The sequence below is a fragment of the Homo sapiens genome, chromosome X (assembly GCF_000001405.40).
Source record: "Homo sapiens chromosome X, GRCh38.p14 Primary Assembly".
Classification (NCBI taxonomy): Eukaryota; Metazoa; Chordata; class Mammalia; order Primates; family Hominidae; genus Homo; species Homo sapiens.
Genome location: NC_000023.11, coordinates 117,894,255 through 117,913,386, shown reverse-complemented (window position 1 = coordinate 117,913,386; position 19,132 = coordinate 117,894,255). Strand labels below are relative to the sequence as shown.

Genomic DNA, 19,132 nt, shown 5'->3' with positions numbered 1-19,132 from the left:
TTTCAATGTGTATTCTATTATATATGTAAATTGCATTATAAGTCCAATTATCCATTTATGGATATCCAATTATCCATTTATCCTTTTATGTATCCAGTGGATAAACAAACACATGTATCCATTTAAAAATACTGTCTAGGCTTAATGTTTGGAGATTTCTAGCTGAGTCACTTTTAAGAATCATGATGGAGAAGTGGATTAAAATGAACCATAATAGAATATTATGTATTTCTCTGGGCCATTGTTTACTATAATTCCATCAGTTTTGGTCTATTTATATTGTTAATTATTACTGTAGACTTTGCTTCTTTAATTTCTATATTCTATGATTAATTTTTAAGCTTTGATTACATATACTTGCTAAGAATTAATTTCCTATTACATATTTTTCTTGTCTGTGTCTCATTTTGAAATTAATAAGGTTTTAGTAATTTGCTACATTAATTCAACAGGTATCCTATTTTTAATTGCATCTATCATCGTATCTTTACTTTTTATATTTTTGATACTTGTAGTATTTAGCCTTTGTTGTATACTCACAGTATAGTAGCTGTTGTATATGAGCTATAGAAAATACTTAGTCTTGGGTACCCCATAAATATATATACCAACTATGTGCCTACAAAAATTAAAAACTGAAAGAAATAAAAAAAGAAAATACTTAGTTCTTCTGTCAAGAAGATAACAGTTCGGAAGGTTATGGAATACCTTTCTCTGGTGATTTTAAAGAAAAAAGTAGGCAGCTATTTGTATTGGTTAGATGGTCTGTCAAAGTCTTTTCTAGTCTTGTGTGTCTGTATATATGAACGTATTGATATACAGAAGGTATTTTCCAAATGCCTGTAAATAAAATTTAAGTTTCTTTCTCATGTTATTCTAGCAATCGTTTTCTCACTGGATAAATTTGAAGAGGGAAAAGGTGAAGGAATTAAATACCTTGATCCCATTTCTGAATTATACAGTTTGGCTTTTAATCTTTAATCTTGCTCTGTTTTACATGCTATAAATTTAGATTTCAGTTTGGTGACTGGCAACTGGTAGTATCATTTTGTCTTCTTAAAGTACCCATTCTTTGTTGTTTTTTAGTAATCATATCAATAATGATGAGAATTTGCATACTTGGGAATTATATTTGTGTTGTCATCAACTTTTGCTTAACTGTACTAATAAACATCTTCAAAAGTATAAATCACCTTCACTCTGGGGACGAGATAATTCTTACTTGTCTTGGGAAGTGAATTCATGACCTCAAATTCCTTCCACTCAGGGTGAATTGGGAAAACAGGTATTGACTGTAACTCCATTTACAAAACTTAAATTTTTGAACCACCGACCTGCAGCTCCTCAAATTGGATTAAATGGACTTTTTATTAACCACGTTAGAAATCCAGGGTATTTATACAGTGTTATGCTGTCTATTTCTAGAGACTCATAATTTGTTAACTTATTTTTCTATTTTTTTATGTTACAGTTATGTGTTAGGTATTTTAAAAATATGTAGCTACTAAGTAAAATAAGCAATTAAACATTTTTGTAAAGCAAATCAGCTACTTAAAAGAGCACAAATTCTTTTTGAGTAATAAATCAATGATAGACTGGATAAAGAAAATGTGGCACATGTACACCATGGAATACTATGCAGCCATAAAAAAGGATGAGTTCATATCCTTTGTAGGGACATGAATGAAGCTGGAAACCATCATTCTCAGCAAACTAACACAGGAACAGAAAACCAAACACCACATGTTCTCACTCATAAGTGGGAGTTGAACAATGAGAACTCATGGGCACAGGGAGGGGAACATCACACACCAGAGCCTGTTGGAGGCTGGGAGGCTAGAGGAGGGATAGCATTAGGAGAAATACCTAATGTAGATGACGGGTTGATAGGTGCAGCAAACCACCATGGTACGTGTAATACCTATGTAACAAACCTGCACGTTCTGCATGTATATCCCATAAGTTAAAGTCTAATTAAAATAATCTATGAAAATAACAATGTGTGTGTGTTAACCTTAGAGATTTCAGTGATATTATATCCTAACTGGGCTGTCATTTTATGCGGAGGAGTAATGTTTTTAGCTTTGTTTCAGTTTTTAAAGAAATGTCAACAGGAGGATTATTTTATTTTCTCTTAACCATCTGCCAAATCTGTTAACTATACAGGTGTGAGGTTAACAATACATTGATAAAGTTTGTGTGATATTGAGGACACATAACCTGACAAAATTTTAAAAACAACCAAACATTTAAGTCTTTTGCCTGTGATCTGTGTCTGTTTGTATACATACACACTGGCATTTTTTATTGTAGGCTTGTTTTTGTGGTTTGTTCTTTGTATTATATTTGCTAATATTATTTTTCCTATTTTTCCTTTGATGAGTCAGTTATTAGAGCATTGAAAAGAGGTTCTACTGAGGAAAGGCCTCTCTGTCACTTCTCTTCTTTGTCAGCTTTTCACTTTATGGTATATTTTGCTCTATGGTGGGGAGATGGTTCTGGGCTCATGTTGACGCCAGAGAGAAACAGAATGTGCTGAAAGTAAGAGTGGCTAAGGAAAGCTGTGTTGCCCAGATGGAAGCAGTCATCACAGATACCAAAATCTCATTTACATGAGAGATTTGTTGTAGATATACCCCTCTGCCCTTAAGAAAGACATTTCCTTGCTTATATTTCCAGATAAATAATGTTGAAAATTAATTTGCCCTAGGGATAATTATCTTATTAAATTATTTTCATTATGAGTGATAACTTTGAAGGAACCAAAATGAATGATAGTAATGAGTGATGCCTATTTACGTGAAAGGGAAATCTAGGGTTTGGGTATTAGAGCTTTTCTGTTCATGGATCTGCTAGCTGTGTGGTATTTTTAAGAATAATGACTAAGAAGTGGATTGAGATGAATCATAATAGAACAACCTTCTATTTTCCCAAGTTTCCATCTGGCAGGAATTTTATCAGTATTTTGGGGGTGGGGGTGGGATACATTTTTGAGGAGAGAAGAGTAACTGGTTTGGCCATATTCCAGTTATAACATTGTTTCTTAGAGTAGCTTCTAACTTACTGACTTTGATCATTTTCTTTTAGTCAGCCTTCTAGTGGATTAAGTAAAGGTGGTTTGCAAATTATCTGTTTGTAGATCATTGATACATTTAGATAAGAATCCTATTTGTATCTATTTGAACATTAAAAGCATAATTTACTCTTATTCTAGAACAGGTATTTGTGCTATCAAGATGTGATTGCCATGAAAGTAGTCATGTTTTAATTTTTTTTAATTGGCTTAATAGGTCACTTTAGACAACTGTGTTGAAGTTGGACGGATTGCCAACACCTACAATCTAACCGAAGTGGATAAATACGTTAACAGTTTCGTCTTGAAGAATTTTCCTGCATTGCTGAGCACAGGGGAGTTCTTGAAACTCCCTTTTGAGCGTCTTGCCTTCGTGCTTTCCAGTAATAGCCTTAAGCACTGTACTGAACTTGAGCTCTTTAAGGCTACCTGTCGTTGGCTTCGCCTGGAAGAGCCTCGGATGGACTTTGCTGCAAAATTAATGAAGAACATACGATTTCCACTGATGACACCACAGGAGCTCATTAATTACGTGCAAACGGTGGATTTCATGAGAACTGACAATACTTGTGTGAATTTGCTTTTGGAAGCCAGCAATTACCAAATGATGCCATATATGCAGCCAGTTATGCAGTCAGACAGGACTGCCATTAGGTCTGACACCACTCACTTGGTTACACTAGGAGGAGTGCTGAGGCAGCAGCTGGTTGTCAGTAAGGAATTGCGCATGTATGATGAAAAGGCCCATGAGTGGAAATCGTTAGCCCCCATGGATGCCCCAAGGTACCAGCATGGCATCGCCGTCATTGGAAATTTTCTCTATGTGGTTGGCGGACAGAGTAATTATGATACAAAAGGAAAAACGGCAGTTGATACAGTCTTCAGATTTGATCCTCGATACAATAAATGGATGCAAGTTGCATCTTTAAATGAAAAGCGCACCTTCTTCCACCTAAGTGCCCTCAAAGGATATCTGTATGCAGTTGGTGGGCGAAATGCAGCAGGTGAACTGCGTAAGTGCATTTATATTAAGCATAGAGACAAATTTCTTCACTCAGAAATTCTTATCAAATCATAAAATAAGCAGTCCTGTAAAATCAGATAAAAATGTAGTTAGGGTTTTATTTTAAAACTATTTTTCTGAGAAAATATTGAAGACCATCTTTATGCCTTATCTGGGCATATATCGTTGGCAAGGGAACAAATTGTACGTTACAAATACATCAGTATATTGTAGCATATTTCACCTGTGCAGTATATATGGTCTTCATCTTGAAGGTTCATCTAAAGAGTATACTTAGCTCATTTAAATTATAATAAGGTCTTGGATAGAAGTTTGGCATGTTTTCTCATTTTCTGCTTTTAAAAGGCCATATGATATTTTACTGAACAGGTTACAATCCTTCATTACAGAAAACTTTCATTGTTTCTTCTTTTACAAAATATGTTACCTATTAGTGGCCACAAAGATAATTTTCTTTATAGATTAAATGTACAAAGTTCAACATTATCCAAAGTTTGTTCACTGTGAATATTATGATCTATGACTGTTTTAAAAATAATTCTGTTGACGTAATATCAGATAGTTTTCTTTTCCATAAGCCCATCTGGTAAGCTTTATTTGATGGTCACCTTTTTGTCTTCCCAGTATAAAATTGGTCATAAATGTACTTTGATGTAGAATACTTTGGCTATGTAAATTAACCCAAAAAGGTAAAATTTTATTATTTCAGATAAAATTGGGATAGTATAATTTTTCCAAAAATAAAGGCAGGAAGTCCACATTTTATGTTGTGACATATATTTGTCATTACCATTATTGTTTGGCCTTGTTTTCAATTATTTTATTCTCTATTATAAATAGAGTCTGTCACAGGGAGGGGAACATCACACACCAGGGCCTGTCTGGGGTTGGGGGGCTAGGGGAGGGATAGCATTAGGAGAAATACCTAATGTAGGTGACAGGTTGATGGGTGCAGCAAACCACCATGGCACGTGTATACTTATGTAACAAAACAGCACGTTCTGCACATGTACCCCAGAACTTAAAGTATAATAATATAAATAAATAAGTAAATAAATAAAAAATACAAAAAAGACAGAAAGACAGAAAGGAAGAAAGAAAGAAAGAAAGCCAGATGTGGCTCATGCCTGTAGTCCTAGCTGTTAGGGAGGCTGAAGCAGGATTGCTTGAACACAATAAATAAATAAATAAATAAATAAATAAATAAATAAATAAATAAATAATGTCCTTGTAGTTGACCAATTCCAGGCTCCATAGAGCTGGGAAAGTTCAAAATATTGGCATTGGCTCTGGATAAGTTCAGAGTAATTCTCAGAATCTTTATTTTTCAATATTCTAAGAAATAAAAGATAGTTTAATGTATTTGAGACTAAGCTATTTATCAGAGAATAGAATAACTGTTCTCAGCTTTTATACTTTCCTGTTTATAAAACCCTTTCTTGTTAGTGACATGGTCTTTTTCCTGATCTTTTCTACCCAAAGTTTTTTTTTCTTTGTTGTTACAATGATATTTTTTTCTAAGACCAGATTTTCTAGATTGTTGGACTATGTCGCATGATCATGAACTGCATAGGTTTTCCAATATATTTTAATAATTGGACTTTTAAAAGCAGTTAAGGCATAAGTGTCCTTAGTGTACAATTGTTCTTTAGGCCTCCTCAGTCAACCTACACACATTATTTTCATGTTATTATACTATTTTAAATTTGCGGTATCTGGAAATATCTAGAAGGTGCAAGTAGTGACTTGGTTGTTTCTTAGAAAATCCCTGTATAAGATAATGTTTTCTTAAATATTTTCTTCACAAATAACAGGTCATTAACTTGGTCAGTCTTCTTTTCTCAAAGGAAGTAGCTCCGTTTTTCAAAGTCAGTCCTTGCTTGTTGATATTATCACCCCTGTTAATATGCGGCTACTTAGCTTTCAATATATAGTTCCTAATACTAATTAAAAGCCATATTCTTCTGGGAGTTTTTAATCTTCAGGCCAAGGAGAGTCATTACATAAAACCAAGATGCTAGAGGCTTCTTTCTTTGAACCTATCCCAACTCTCTTTCAGCTGCTCCTATGGTATACCCATCTAGGAACTAGAAATAGACCACACTGTTGGGCAAGTGGCTCATACACAGGAATCCTTGCTCCTGACCTTCAGAAACCACCCCTCCATCTCTGATTAAAAACAGTCTTCTGTGTTTCATTTTGAAAGGGAAAAGAAACAAGGAAATCATGCTTTTCTTAGGGTATTCCTAAATTCATATTTAGGCTTTAACAATAAAATTTCTAAAGCTTAACCTAAGGATAATGACTTAAAAAAATTTCCCCTCTAATGGTAAATATAGGTCCATTTTAATCTTATTTCATAAACTGCATTTAAAAAAAGGCACATGTCATTATAATACAGGCACAAACCATCTATTCCAAGAATTCTAATTCTAGTTATCATCCAATTATTTGATATTTTATTCCATTTGAAATGATCTATAGATTACAAATCTATAATGACCTCATAGATTTGTAACCTATAAGTAGCTAAACTTTTGTAGAAAATGATTGCGTCCCTTAAAATCAGCATACCCATCAAACGCATTCTGTACTAAACATTTTATTATATAATATATTGGAAGTTTAAAAAATATTTTGTGATTGACTTAGTAAGTGCATTCAAATTTAGAGTCTTGATTTCAGGAGAAAAAAGGCCAAAAAGAGTCATTAGATAAAGCCAAGAAGCAAGAGGTTTCATTTGTTTCTGATCCACTCCACCCCCTTTGAGTTCTTTCTATGTTATACTCAAATAGAAGCAAGAAGTAGATTGTCTTGTCACGTCACATCCTGTATTACGGAGGTAACCAAACTTGATGAAACCTGCCTTGATTACTATTGCTCCCAAAGAATAATATTAATGAAATTTCCTGAATTCTATCCATGATCGTGTTTCTCTTTATATAAATAAAAAATGAATTTGTGTTAGTTGGCATTTCCAGTTTTCTTGGACCCATTGTTTTTGCAGAATAGCAGATTTTGATTCTAAAGAAACTCTTGCCTATATTTCTGAATGTTCCTGCCAGAAACTGAGGTTTTAACATTTCCCCTACCCTACAAGCGCTTTTTAAAAATAGAATTCCTCCTTCAACGCACACATTAACATCTGTTATAATAAATTAACATTCCCATTGTAACTGATTAAGTTGAGACATTCATATGCCTATGTAAATAGAAGGAGGTGATGGGAATGGGTGGCAGGAAGAGGGGATTGATGGGAAAGTCATTTAACAATTTAATAGGTTGATTAGTACCAGTATATCACTTCATACACACAGTAACTATTGCCTGTATATAATTATAAAAAGAAAAATTTGATGGGTACAAAAATAGTTAGAATGAATTAATAAGGCCTAGTATTTGATAGCACAGCAGGGTGACTATAGTCAATAATAATTTAATTGTATGTTTTACAATAAGTATGAGTATATATAATTGGATTATTCGTAACACAGAGGATAAATGCCTGAAAGGATGGATACTCCATCTTCTATGATGTGATTATTATACATTGCATACCTGCATCAAAACATCTCATGTACCCCATAAAAATATACACGTACTATGTACCCACAAAAATTAAAAATTAAAAAAAAAACAGTGGCAACATTTGCAAGACAGTTTAGATCACTTTAATGCATTAGGCCTTTTAAAATCTTTCCATGGGGTACTTGGACCAAAGGAAACCTAAGCCCATTGTTCATCAAAAAAAGACTGTGTGTGTGTGTGTGTGTGTGTGTGTGTGCACGCACTAGCACACGTGCTCACCTGGTTTAGTGCTGAAATATAATTCCTTCAAAATGCTGCTTTCCTTTGACACTGGTTACAATGGGAAACTAGGGGAGGCTTAGAGTAGCTGTCACTTAAGTGTAAAAGGAGTCAGTTATTTCTGGCATCTTTCAAAATTGTGTCATATAAGAAATCAATCTTCTATTGAGGCTTCCTATATTGAAGAAGATTATGACAGCTCCAATATCTTTCACTTCAGTTAAATATTAATAAGTTAAGGTTTCAAATAATGAAATAACTTATAGAAAACATGTTAGATGTTTTTCAAATACATGCACAATAAAACTACTAAAATTTATTAAATGCCTCTATACCCCCCAAAGGATTTGGGGGTTTCTTGATCACTCACCAGCGTTCTATGTTTCTAGAGTCCATCTCCCCTGTATGACAGCCATCACTGTTTAAATGATTTTCTTTAGGCTGATCTCTTTCCTAATCTTAAAGAACAAATAAATTCCACATCCTCTTCTGGGACCGATTCTGGATTCCTATGGAATTATCTCAGAAAATAAGAACTCCTGATATATGTGAGATAACCAACCTAAGTATAATTCTTAAATTGGAGAGATTCTTTAATGTAAACACTAGGCCACCAAACTACTGAAGTTAATTCTCTAGATTAGGGGCCAGCAAACTTTTGTAAAGGGCCAGAAAGAGTCTATTTCCAGCTTTGTGGGCCATTAAATCTCTGTCACAAGTAATCAACTCTGCTGTTGTAGTGTAAAAGCAACCCTACATAATCCATAAACAAATGAGTGAGGCTGTGCTCCAATAAAGCTTTATTTGTGAACATGAAATTTGAATTTTATAGAATTTTCATAAGTTACAAAATAGTCTTGATTCTTTTTCAATGTGTAAAAAATGTAAAATCATTCATATTTTTATCTTTTGGGCCCTACAAAACAGGAAGTAGACTGGATTTGGCCTATGGACTGAGGTTTGCTGCCACCTGCTCTAGATTTTTCCAGTTGCCTCTTTACCATTTCCAACTCTTATAGACTACGATTGAAGCACTGCTTTGTGGCTCCAACTCTTTGCCTTGCATCATCCCTTACTCCCTCTTCCCATCAGAGTTGTTGGTACTAACCTATATCTGAGTGTCGTGTAAATATGGAAAATGGAAATAAGAGCATGTGTATCTACTTTTTAATTAGATGTATTTTATTTTAAAATAAAATACTATTGATTTTACTGATAACAATAGCAACTCTGCATGGAGAATTGCATGACAATAAAAGTTGACAATAAAAATTAAATGCCTGGAACAGCTAAAGGAGATGCATTTTTAGCTGGAAAAAAGCTTAAGAATGATGGACTATTATATAGTAATTTTGTTATTGGTGGTTAATAGCTATCTTGAACTGAGGGCCTCCTGTGTGAGAAAGTACAAATGGATTCTTATAACCACTATTAGGGGAAAATGCAATTAAGTCACTGACAGAGGAATTATCTTTCTACATAGGAAAATATTAATAATAATAAAAAGTGAATAAGTATTCAAATTCTAACTCCACTATAAAAAGAATAAGAAGAAACTAATGGAAATCACATTGGAACAGTTTGAATTAAACATAAGAAAGGACAGTTACAATCCAAAAATTTCAAAGTTTAAGTCAGAGTCCCGCATTAAGAAAAGTGTAAAACTATAGTGAATCCTGTCTTTGGCTTCAAGCAGATGAAGATGATATCTGGAAGTCTTTTTAGACCCCGTTTCTGATAGGATGTGTGGTTTAATTACTTCTAAAAGCTTCCCATTAATGGCTTTGCTAATGCCAAGTACCAATCAATGCACTAGGTTTTCTCTTATGTGGCGAGAGAGAGAGAAGGAGAGAGAGAGAGAGAGAATAATAATGTAGGATTTTGCTTGTCCGTTAGGTAAAAGTCATGCCAAAGGCAAATAGAAATGAACATTTGAAAAGGCATCCAGTGACTGGAAATAGTAAAAAAAAACAACAGTACTGGGGCATGTGGCAGTTTAACTTGTTATTAATTTTAGAAATAGGGTTTAAAAGAAATAGAATTGGCAAGGATCCAGGCCTAAAGCAATGAACAAAGCCAACAAAGCAGTAGGTAAAAATGAGAATAGTAAAAGCCTTTGAAATAAGACTGAAAATTCAAAGCTAAAGTAAGTGGAAAAGGAAGTCAGTAGAGAGATACAAGAAGTGGCATGATATAGGTGTGCTTGGAGGAGAAAAGCATACTTTGCGTAGTGAATTTGATGATGAAATGAAATTATTGAATAGAGCGGAAAAGTAGTCTCTCTCTCTCTCTCTCTCTCTCTCGCTCTCCTCTCTCTCTCTCTCTGTGTGTGTGTGTGTGTGTGTGTTTTGCCTGTCACCATGTTATTTTTTTTTAAGTAGAGAATCTCATTCAAAGGTTGATTCATCAGGATTGCATTTGGTTGCAAGTAGCTAAACCTAATTCCAGTGGCTTGATCAAATTGTCCTACTCAATAAACTTCTGCTTACCCGTCGCTGCCCAGAACTATATCATATGGTGGACCAAAGCTTCAAGGGAACCTGCTAAATTAAATTTCGTTTTTAGCTTGGTGTAGTGCTTCCCTAAGCAGTGTTGTGGTTCTGTTAGTTTAAAAAAGTAGGGTTGGGGGACGCAAGAAATTGGATTAGCAGTTGGCAGTGTCTGCAATAAATAATATGAACTTTTCAAGTCAATCTAGACCTCATGCTTTTGATGAGTTCTCTTAACAGCTTCTCTGCCTTTTAAAAAGTGATTACATTTTCCATCTTTCTTGGTGACATTGTTCTGTTCTTGAGGTTATAACAGACTGATTGAAAGATACTTAAGTGAGTTGAGGTCACTTCTCCAAAATACATTATGTTAAAAGATGATAAATACATTACTGACAGGAAGTATTCTTAATAAAGATCTTCATATTATGCCGCCAACCATCTTCAGGTTAAGAGTAGTACTGGCTGCAATGATGGTGGGTATATACGAACTATTAGCTTTAAAGTATAAATGTAGAGAAATTATTATCAGTGTCCATTTTGTAGTCTGTATATGAATTAAAGCAGTGGGCTTCAGAACATAAACCAAGAAGTGTGTATATTTTCATTCTCAATGTAAAAGTTTGCTTCTTATGTATTAACGTTTGTTTCTATCAACATGGGGACCCAGAATTGAGGAGTTTTTCATTTCTTTTGATTTTTTTCATCCTTTCTTCCTATGTTTTTAGAGCAAAGAAAATGGAGAAATGTCAAATTATAAATATGTAAGCAGATTACAGAATAAATCTTAGTGATTTCTGCAATGACAGAAATTTGTTAGATTCTTACACTATCTAGTCTAATGTAACATGTACTAATGGTTTATATTATTAATATAGTCTCAATAATTACTGTAAGAGCTCCCCCAAAGTCTTACACATATCTATCATAGCTATAATAGATATGTTTCAAGTGTTTGGATATTATTACTGTTCCACTTAAGAGAAAAATAATTAATTGCTAAATTTGAAGTTAAAAATAATTTTCTTTTCTTTTTTTTTTTAACAGCCACAGTAGAATGTTACAATCCAAGAACAAATGAATGGACCTATGTTGCCAAAATGAGTGAGCCCCACTATGGCCATGCTGGAACTGTGTATGGAGGAGTGATGTATATTTCAGGTAAACAAGTATCATGTGAACACAATATAATATATAAGCTTTTAACTATATGGTTATCTTTCCATATAGTGGTAGTAATAATAATAATAATTCAGGCGTCAGGAGTTTGAGACCAGGCGGGCCAACATGGTGAAATCCTGTCTCTATTAAAAATACAAAAATTAACTGGGTGTGGTGGTGCACGTCTGTAATCCCAGCTACTTGGGAGGCTGAGGCAGGAGAATCTCTTGAACCCAGAAGACGGAGGTTGCAGTGAGCCGAGATTGCGCCACTGTACTCCAGCCTGTGTGAAAGAGCGAGACTCCATCTCAAAAAAAAAAAAAATCCAGAAAAACGGAGAATCAAAATATAATTTATGTTGATTTTAGAAACTATTTTTGTGTGTATTTGCATATGAATGTCTTGGGCATTCTGTAAATTTATAAGAGTACTAGTAAACCAATCCTGTTGTAAGGTATAACTTAGAAAAAATTGGAAAGCATTCAAATTTTGCTTTCCAGTCCCCATGCTCTGTATTCTGATAAACACCATTCATAGTTTCTGTAGCAACAATTAATTCATTTTATTTAAGATTTAGCTAAACTATGTGAAGGAGTGTATCATTATATAACATATAAGTTCTCCTATGCATAAAACGTGCTTCCAATATGCATAATAGTACATAATAATGTTCATTCTCTCTTTCAGTATAGTCCATAATATGGGTTTCCTTCTTCCTTAGCATTATAGGGGGATTCTACTATGGTGTCATTGCATAAATATTTCTGTGCTGATTATCTGTATTTTATGCACATGAAGATATATTTTTCTGTTAAAAAATTCTGAAATGGCTATAGTTTGTTCACAGTGTCCCAGTAGCAACTTTCATTCTCAAATTGTTGGTGTTTAAATCAATCTACTGTAGAATTTCTTTCTTTTTTTAATGCATTTTCTGCTTTCATTCTCCTGTAGAATTTAGGAAGAAGTCTCACTTTAATGTAATGACCACCTCTGGTATTGACATTTAACTTTGTTAGTCAGGTTATTATCATTTGGCCCTGACACACTCTGCCTGGGACAATTCTTCCCCATATGAAGGCCTGCCAGTGCCAGGCCAGCAGTTACATTACTAGAGACCAAGGGTGTAAAGGCACTATTTGTGACCTGATTGACCACTGCCTTATGAAATTTTTAATCAATAAGAATCAATGAAAGGCCTATAGTATATGATTGGCAGGTTTCTGGTGTTAAATTCATGAGCAACTACAGAATGTCTTATATTGGAAGAGCCATCCAGGTAATAAATATGCTCCCATTAATCAATGATTTACACCATCTATCTATTTTATGTGGGCAGCTGCTGTACCATTATAATGAGAGCTCCAACTCCTCTGAGAAAAATGACACCTGAATTGTTTTAGTGGTGTTTTGGCATAACTGGCGTATATTGCAGAAATGACCTTCCCAATCAAGAGTGGTTAGAAACTATAGCTGATTTTCAAAACAATGAACACTGTTTTGCTTTCTGGGAATTCTGTAAAGCACAAGGAAAATATTTTTAAAAAGCAGAAGGAAACAGTGATAGTGATTGGCATCTGGCCATTTGACAGTAAAGGTTTGAATGATTTGACTAAAGATTAGCTTACTTCTTTCCCTTGTCTACAGAAGGTATCGTTTAATACTTTCATTGTAGAGACTGGTTTATATGTGATCTAAGAGTACACTTTGTAGATGATACAGACTAAATTAGATTAACAACAAATTGGTGCATGTATAAAATTCCACGTATATTCAGCATTCTAATTCTTTAGATTTTTAAATATGCATTCTGATAAGAGATGACATTATCCACCCTCACTCTGCCCACAGAAAACTCTATAAACATAAACAATTCTGAATATTCTTATAAGCTTTTACACATGTGCAAGACTTTCAACTTTTTCAAAGCATTTTGATAAATATCTCACTTCAGAGTCACAATCCTGATGCAATAACTAGAGTAGATATTGTTTTGTGACAAGTGAGGAAATGGGAACCTGGAATTTAATGTGCTCTAGCCCAGTGCTCAGTACCCAGAGGGTACCCACTAAAAGGCAGTAAGTAGTGAATGATGCTTTGTAGTTGGAATTTACTACAGACCCAACTCTATCAGTGATCAAAATATATTTTCCTTCAGCAAAGCCTTTTAAATACCAGGGATCTACATTTGAGAAAGTCATTGCAATAATGTAAGTGATTGCAAAAAAAGTAATTGTTTTGTTCTTTAAGAAGATGAAAATGCTATTTTCTTTACTTTTAATCCAGAGAATGTATTTATAGAGGGAAGACAGTCCTAAGAACAGTATTGATAAGGTATATGTCATAATATGTGACTAAAAGTTATCTGTGACAGAGCTCCTTTAATTACTTTTGCATTTCTATAATTATTTACTTCAAAACTATTGTTTTCATTCTTTAGGAGGAATTACTCATGATACTTTCCAAAAGGAGCTCATGTGCTTTGACCCTGATACTGACAAATGGATCCAGAAGGCGCCAATGACCACTGTCAGAGGTCTGCATTGCATGTGTACAGTGGGAGAAAGGCTCTATGTCATTGGTGGCAATCACTTCAGAGGAACAAGTGATTATGATGATGTCCTAAGCTGTGAATACTATTCACCTATCCTTGACCAGTGGACCCCAATTGCTGCCATGTTAAGAGGGCAGAGTGATGTTGGGGTCGCTGTCTTCGAAAATAAAATCTATGTGGTTGGGGGGTATTCTTGGAATAATCGTTGTATGGTAGAGATAGTGCAGAAATATGATCCAGATAAAGATGAATGGCATAAGGTTTTTGATCTGCCAGAATCCCTTGGTGGCATTCGTGCTTGCACACTCACAGTTTTTCCACCAGAAGAAACCACACCATCACCTTCTAGAGAGTCCCCTCTTTCTGCACCTTAAGATCATCTCTACAACTAAGATGCTGTAGTTCTATCTTTGCAATGTGTCATAAATTCTCTTCTTTTTCCCCCTTAAGTAGTATATATGTTAGGATTACCCTCTGGTAATTGATACAGATATTGGAAAAAAGACAACATTGATGTTATTTGTGCTCTTTGTTTGGCCTAGAATGTTTATAAAGTGGTAACACAACCATTCTGGAAATGTATCCCATAGAAGCTGATGTTTAACATATGAAAAAAAAAGTATTGTCTATAAAATGTTTCTTCAGTACTTTTTAAATGCTGTGTATTGGGTGTAAGGTATTTGTCATCTTACATTAGTAAACCCAATAAGCCAAGTTGAAGGTGGATTATAGTAAATGTACAACTGTGCTCACTAGGCTTCAAGTAAAAAGTTTTCCTTTCATCTTTGACTGTAAGATGTCAAAGGGAGGCAGCCTGCTTGAACAGGAAACAATACACAAAAGGTTGCCAACTCGCATGAGCTACCTCCCTCTTTTCATAAAGTATTTTTGACATATCTGTCAACCCACTTGACTGTGTGGGTGCATTGAGAACACAAAGTTTCCTAGACACACAGGAGAAGTAGCTTAAATTCACTAATATTAATTTAAAAAGCAGCATGAACCCTCTACTTATAAACAAGGGTTTGGTGTTTTTAAAGTGTGTATACATACATACACATACACACATGCACATATGTCAAATATAATTTTTTTAAAAATTGAGTGGCACATCAAAGAAATGTGAAATTAAAAAGAATTCTTCCAAAAAGCAGCTTCCATTAAAATGGGAATTCAGTATGCACATACTGAATGCATATATGTAGAACCATACAGAATTTAGGTGGATAAGGGCTAGAAATTTTGAGCAACAAAATTTGTCACTTGACCAGATTTTATCTTCAAAAACTGTATTCTACTCCTTCTCCTTTGCTGTTGAGGTAACTTGCATATTATATGTATTCTGTATACTCAGTTCATAAGGTTATTTAGCACAAAGTATAGCAGCTTCACCTGGAGAGCTGCTTTTGCTCAGTAAATTCAACTTCCATGTTTTATCTTTTTTTGTTCAATAAAAACATTTAATGTCATTTTGGTCTGAGACATCCCATTATTGTCTGATTTGACTTCCTTTGATTAAATATCTATATTTTTGGCATGGCAAAATGTGATCAGAATTTACAGCTCTGAGCAGCTTGGATGAGTGAATATGCCTTTTTATTCAAGGAAAAAAAGAATTTGACAAAATCTAACCTTATTCATCAAAACTCATTGCTGGTTGTGTTTGGGGAATTAGATTATGGAAGATGCTAACTGGCTTTTCATCACCACAGAAGAACTGCCAGCCATATCTAAACCAGAAGAGCAGTTACAATTCCGAGTTTAGTCTCCCTGATCTTCAAGAGGATCCATCTTGCCTGATGAGAAGGGATTGTGTAAAATTACCTTAGAGATTTGTCGACCTGGGATCCCAAAGGAAAAATGTTTTTGTGAAAGATTATTTGAGAATTATATTAGCATCGTATTGTGATCTTCTCTACTTTATCTGCAGATGATCAGATTAAATCTGAGCCAAAAATTTAGGGCTATGATAATACAACTAGTGAGATTCCAAATTTCTTTACCATTAGGTAATTAGCAGTGCAGATGTCACTGCATCTATCTTGAGTTAAATAATTAAGGAAACAATTTTCTCAATAGGAAAAGCTTGGTATGAATTTGAAAATCCCTCTTGAGCATTATTGTTCTTAAGTCAGAGCAGCTGGTCAATGGTATCAGTTCTCTGCTTATAGGCAGAGTGAATTCAGGCATTTGCACATAGTTAACACCTGTCTAAAAATGGAGGCATTATATGGTTTGACTGTGTCTCCATCCAAATCTCATCTTGAATTGTAGCTCTCATAGGGACCCGGTGGGAGGTAATTGAATCAGGGGGACGGGTTTTTCCTATGCTGTTCTCGTGATAGTGAATAAGTCTCATGAGATCTGATGGTTTTATAAAGGGCAGTTCCTCTGCACACGCTCTCTTGCCTGCCACCATGTAAGACATGCTTTTGCTCCCCCTTCACCTTCTGCCATGATTGCGAGGCCTCCCCAGCCGTGTGGAACTGTGAGTCCATTAAACCTCTTTTTTCTTTATAAACTACCCAGTCTTGGATATTTCTTCATAGCAATGTGAAAATGGACTAATACAAGGAGTATATAAGACAGATTGATAATTCAGAAACAACTGAATTATCAGAAACAACTGAAGAGCCTGATCAGGTGGCTCTTCTCCGAGCAGCAAAGGTTCTTTCCATCTTGTGGCCTCCCCTTTTTAGGTTCTCAGAGTCCTCTCCAGTCAGTCAGAAGAAGAAAAATGGAGGATTGCAGGTGGGAGGGCTATAGTGGTCAGGCTTGAAAGAAGCATACATTACCTCTACCCACATCACCTGTACCCACATTCTAGTGGCCAGAAGTCAGTTCTGTGGCTACATATAAACACAAAGAAAACTAGAAAATATCAGAAAGCTGTGTGCCCAGAAAGAAGAAGAAATGGAGCTGGTGATCTTCTAGCAGTCTGCCACAGGGAATAACACAAAACATACATATCCACTTCTTTTTGACAACGTAGCTTTTCTGCACCTATGTATGTTATTTAGAATAGCAATTTATTTCACACTTTACTGTAGGTGCTGTTACTAAACAATTCTAACAGCTGGAAAATTATTACACATTTTGCTTTACAGTGAATTAACTTTTTATTTATGAAAAAATACCTGCCAGTTATTAGTTGGCTTTATAAGCATTTCTCATATTTTCTCTTAAGTTCTTAGCCTACTTGAAAGAGGAGTTACAGAATTCACTAAATCTCAAAAGGTTTGTGATTTTCCTTCTTGGTCAAGATTACTGGAATTTGAAAAATGAAGAAAGAATTTGCCTATTTCTATAATTTTTAGAAAATTCATCTGATAATCAGTATTTACCCTGAAAAGTGAAATTATGACCTGAAACTCTTTCCTTTCTAAAATTACTTTAGAGACTAAAATATAGATGCATGCTTAAATACATACCTATGTAATATTTCTTTGGGAGTTGCTAAAATAATTCCATATTAGCCCATGACAGGGTGCACCACAGGGCAATTAAGTAGTGTCTTATTTAATTAGTTCCACCATGTGACCTTTTATTTTCTCATTTCAAGGGCCTTTGCGTGTTTTCCTCCCACAAGAATAGTAAGCAAACATTCTTGTGTGGAAAGTTGGCTATGCCTCTAATTTTATTCTTAGCTCCTATGCCTTTCCTTGTGTTTTTCATTTTCAGCCACAAAACCACAGGTTTAGTCCTTTGCACATCAAATAGCTTTGTGAGTAGGCAGGAAGAAAAGTAAATGCAAAGCAAGTTCTTAGAGATGGGGAGTTTTATTTTAAATTGGTCAAATAATTCAGTGTTTAAAACTTCTGGTATTTATAAAAATGCAAAATATAGAAAAATTGAAAAGTATAAGAAGGAAGAAAAAAGTCATGGTCTTCCACATATCAAGATAACTATTGCCAATTATGAGTACATTATTTATACACAATTATTTAAAAATCAGCATTATTTTTGTATATACTATATAAAGTATGTTCTGATACATCAATACATCATTTTCTGGTATAAAATACGTTCTAATACACCAATGCATTAACTTCTGATACAAAATACATCAATGCAATATTTAGGATGCAATTTTGTAATGTGTAGTAAGTGAAGTTCAACAATTAGGTAATGTGTTGGGCATTTGTCAGTTTAAAAAATACTGAATATTGACATGATCAAATGAGATGTTTGCATAATTAAGCAATAGTGATGCCAGACAATTAAAACATTTATTTCATCAATGAACCTCATTTGCATAATTCATATCTCATAGTGGATATTTCATCTCTATTTACATTTAGCATTCCTTACTAATCATGTGTTATCAAGTATTATCAAATCTTTGTCAAATGCATCTTTACCTTGTATGTGTTATTTGGCAATGTGATTAAAATAAAAAAAGACTGAATTAAAAAAGTGAGACTAAAGGCCATACATTTATCGAAAGAAAAAAAGAGGGGATATTACAACAGGGCTTGGCAAACTTTCTGTAAAGAGCCAGCAAATATTTTAATCTCTGTGCGCCATATGGTCTTCATCACAACTACTCATGTCTGCTGTTGCAGTGTGAAGGCAGACACAGACAATATGTAAATGAATGAGTGTGGATGTGTTTCAATAAAACTTTATTTATAGACACTGGAATTTGAATTTCATATAATTTTCATGTATTACACAATATTCTTCTTTTGACTTCTTTCAACCATTTAAAAATGTGAAGGCCATTCTTAGCTCATGAGCCATACCAGATTTGGTTGACAGGCTGTAGTTTGCTGACCCCCCCCATTACAAAAGCATATTTCATTACCATTCATTTATTCTTTCAACACAAATTTATTGTGAACCTATTTCGTATCAGTCAATGAAAAGTCCTAAGGCTACAAAGATGAATACAACAATTCCTGCCATCATGAGCTCAGTCTAATTGGGGAGATAGGTACTTACACTGTATTGTGCTTGAGGCTATGATGGGTGTAAAGAAGCAACATCTGAGCAGAGTCATAGGAATAGGTCTTTGTAAAATGAGT

At 34.4% G+C, this 19,132-nt stretch overlaps 1 protein-coding gene across 9 annotated transcripts in view; it reads left to right on the top strand.

The window, feature by feature from the left end:
- The window catches only part of KLHL13 (kelch like family member 13), a 219,528-nt gene extending 203,954 nt beyond the window's left edge, over nucleotides 1–15,574 (top strand). For 7 of the 9 annotated variants that reach the window (NM_001168301.2, NM_001168303.4, NM_001168302.2 and 4 more), the window contains 3 exons: nucleotides 3,291–4,086; nucleotides 11,441–11,554; nucleotides 13,992–15,574. In NM_001168301.2, the coding sequence (NP_001161773.1) occupies nucleotides 3,291–4,086; nucleotides 11,441–11,554; nucleotides 13,992–14,479 (1,398 nt within the window). In that variant the 3' untranslated portion in view covers nucleotides 14,480–15,574. The remainder of the gene's footprint in view (nucleotides 1–3,290; nucleotides 4,087–11,440; nucleotides 11,555–13,991) is intronic. The other 2 variants (NM_001394866.1, NM_001394864.1) reach the window with 1 other exon arrangement.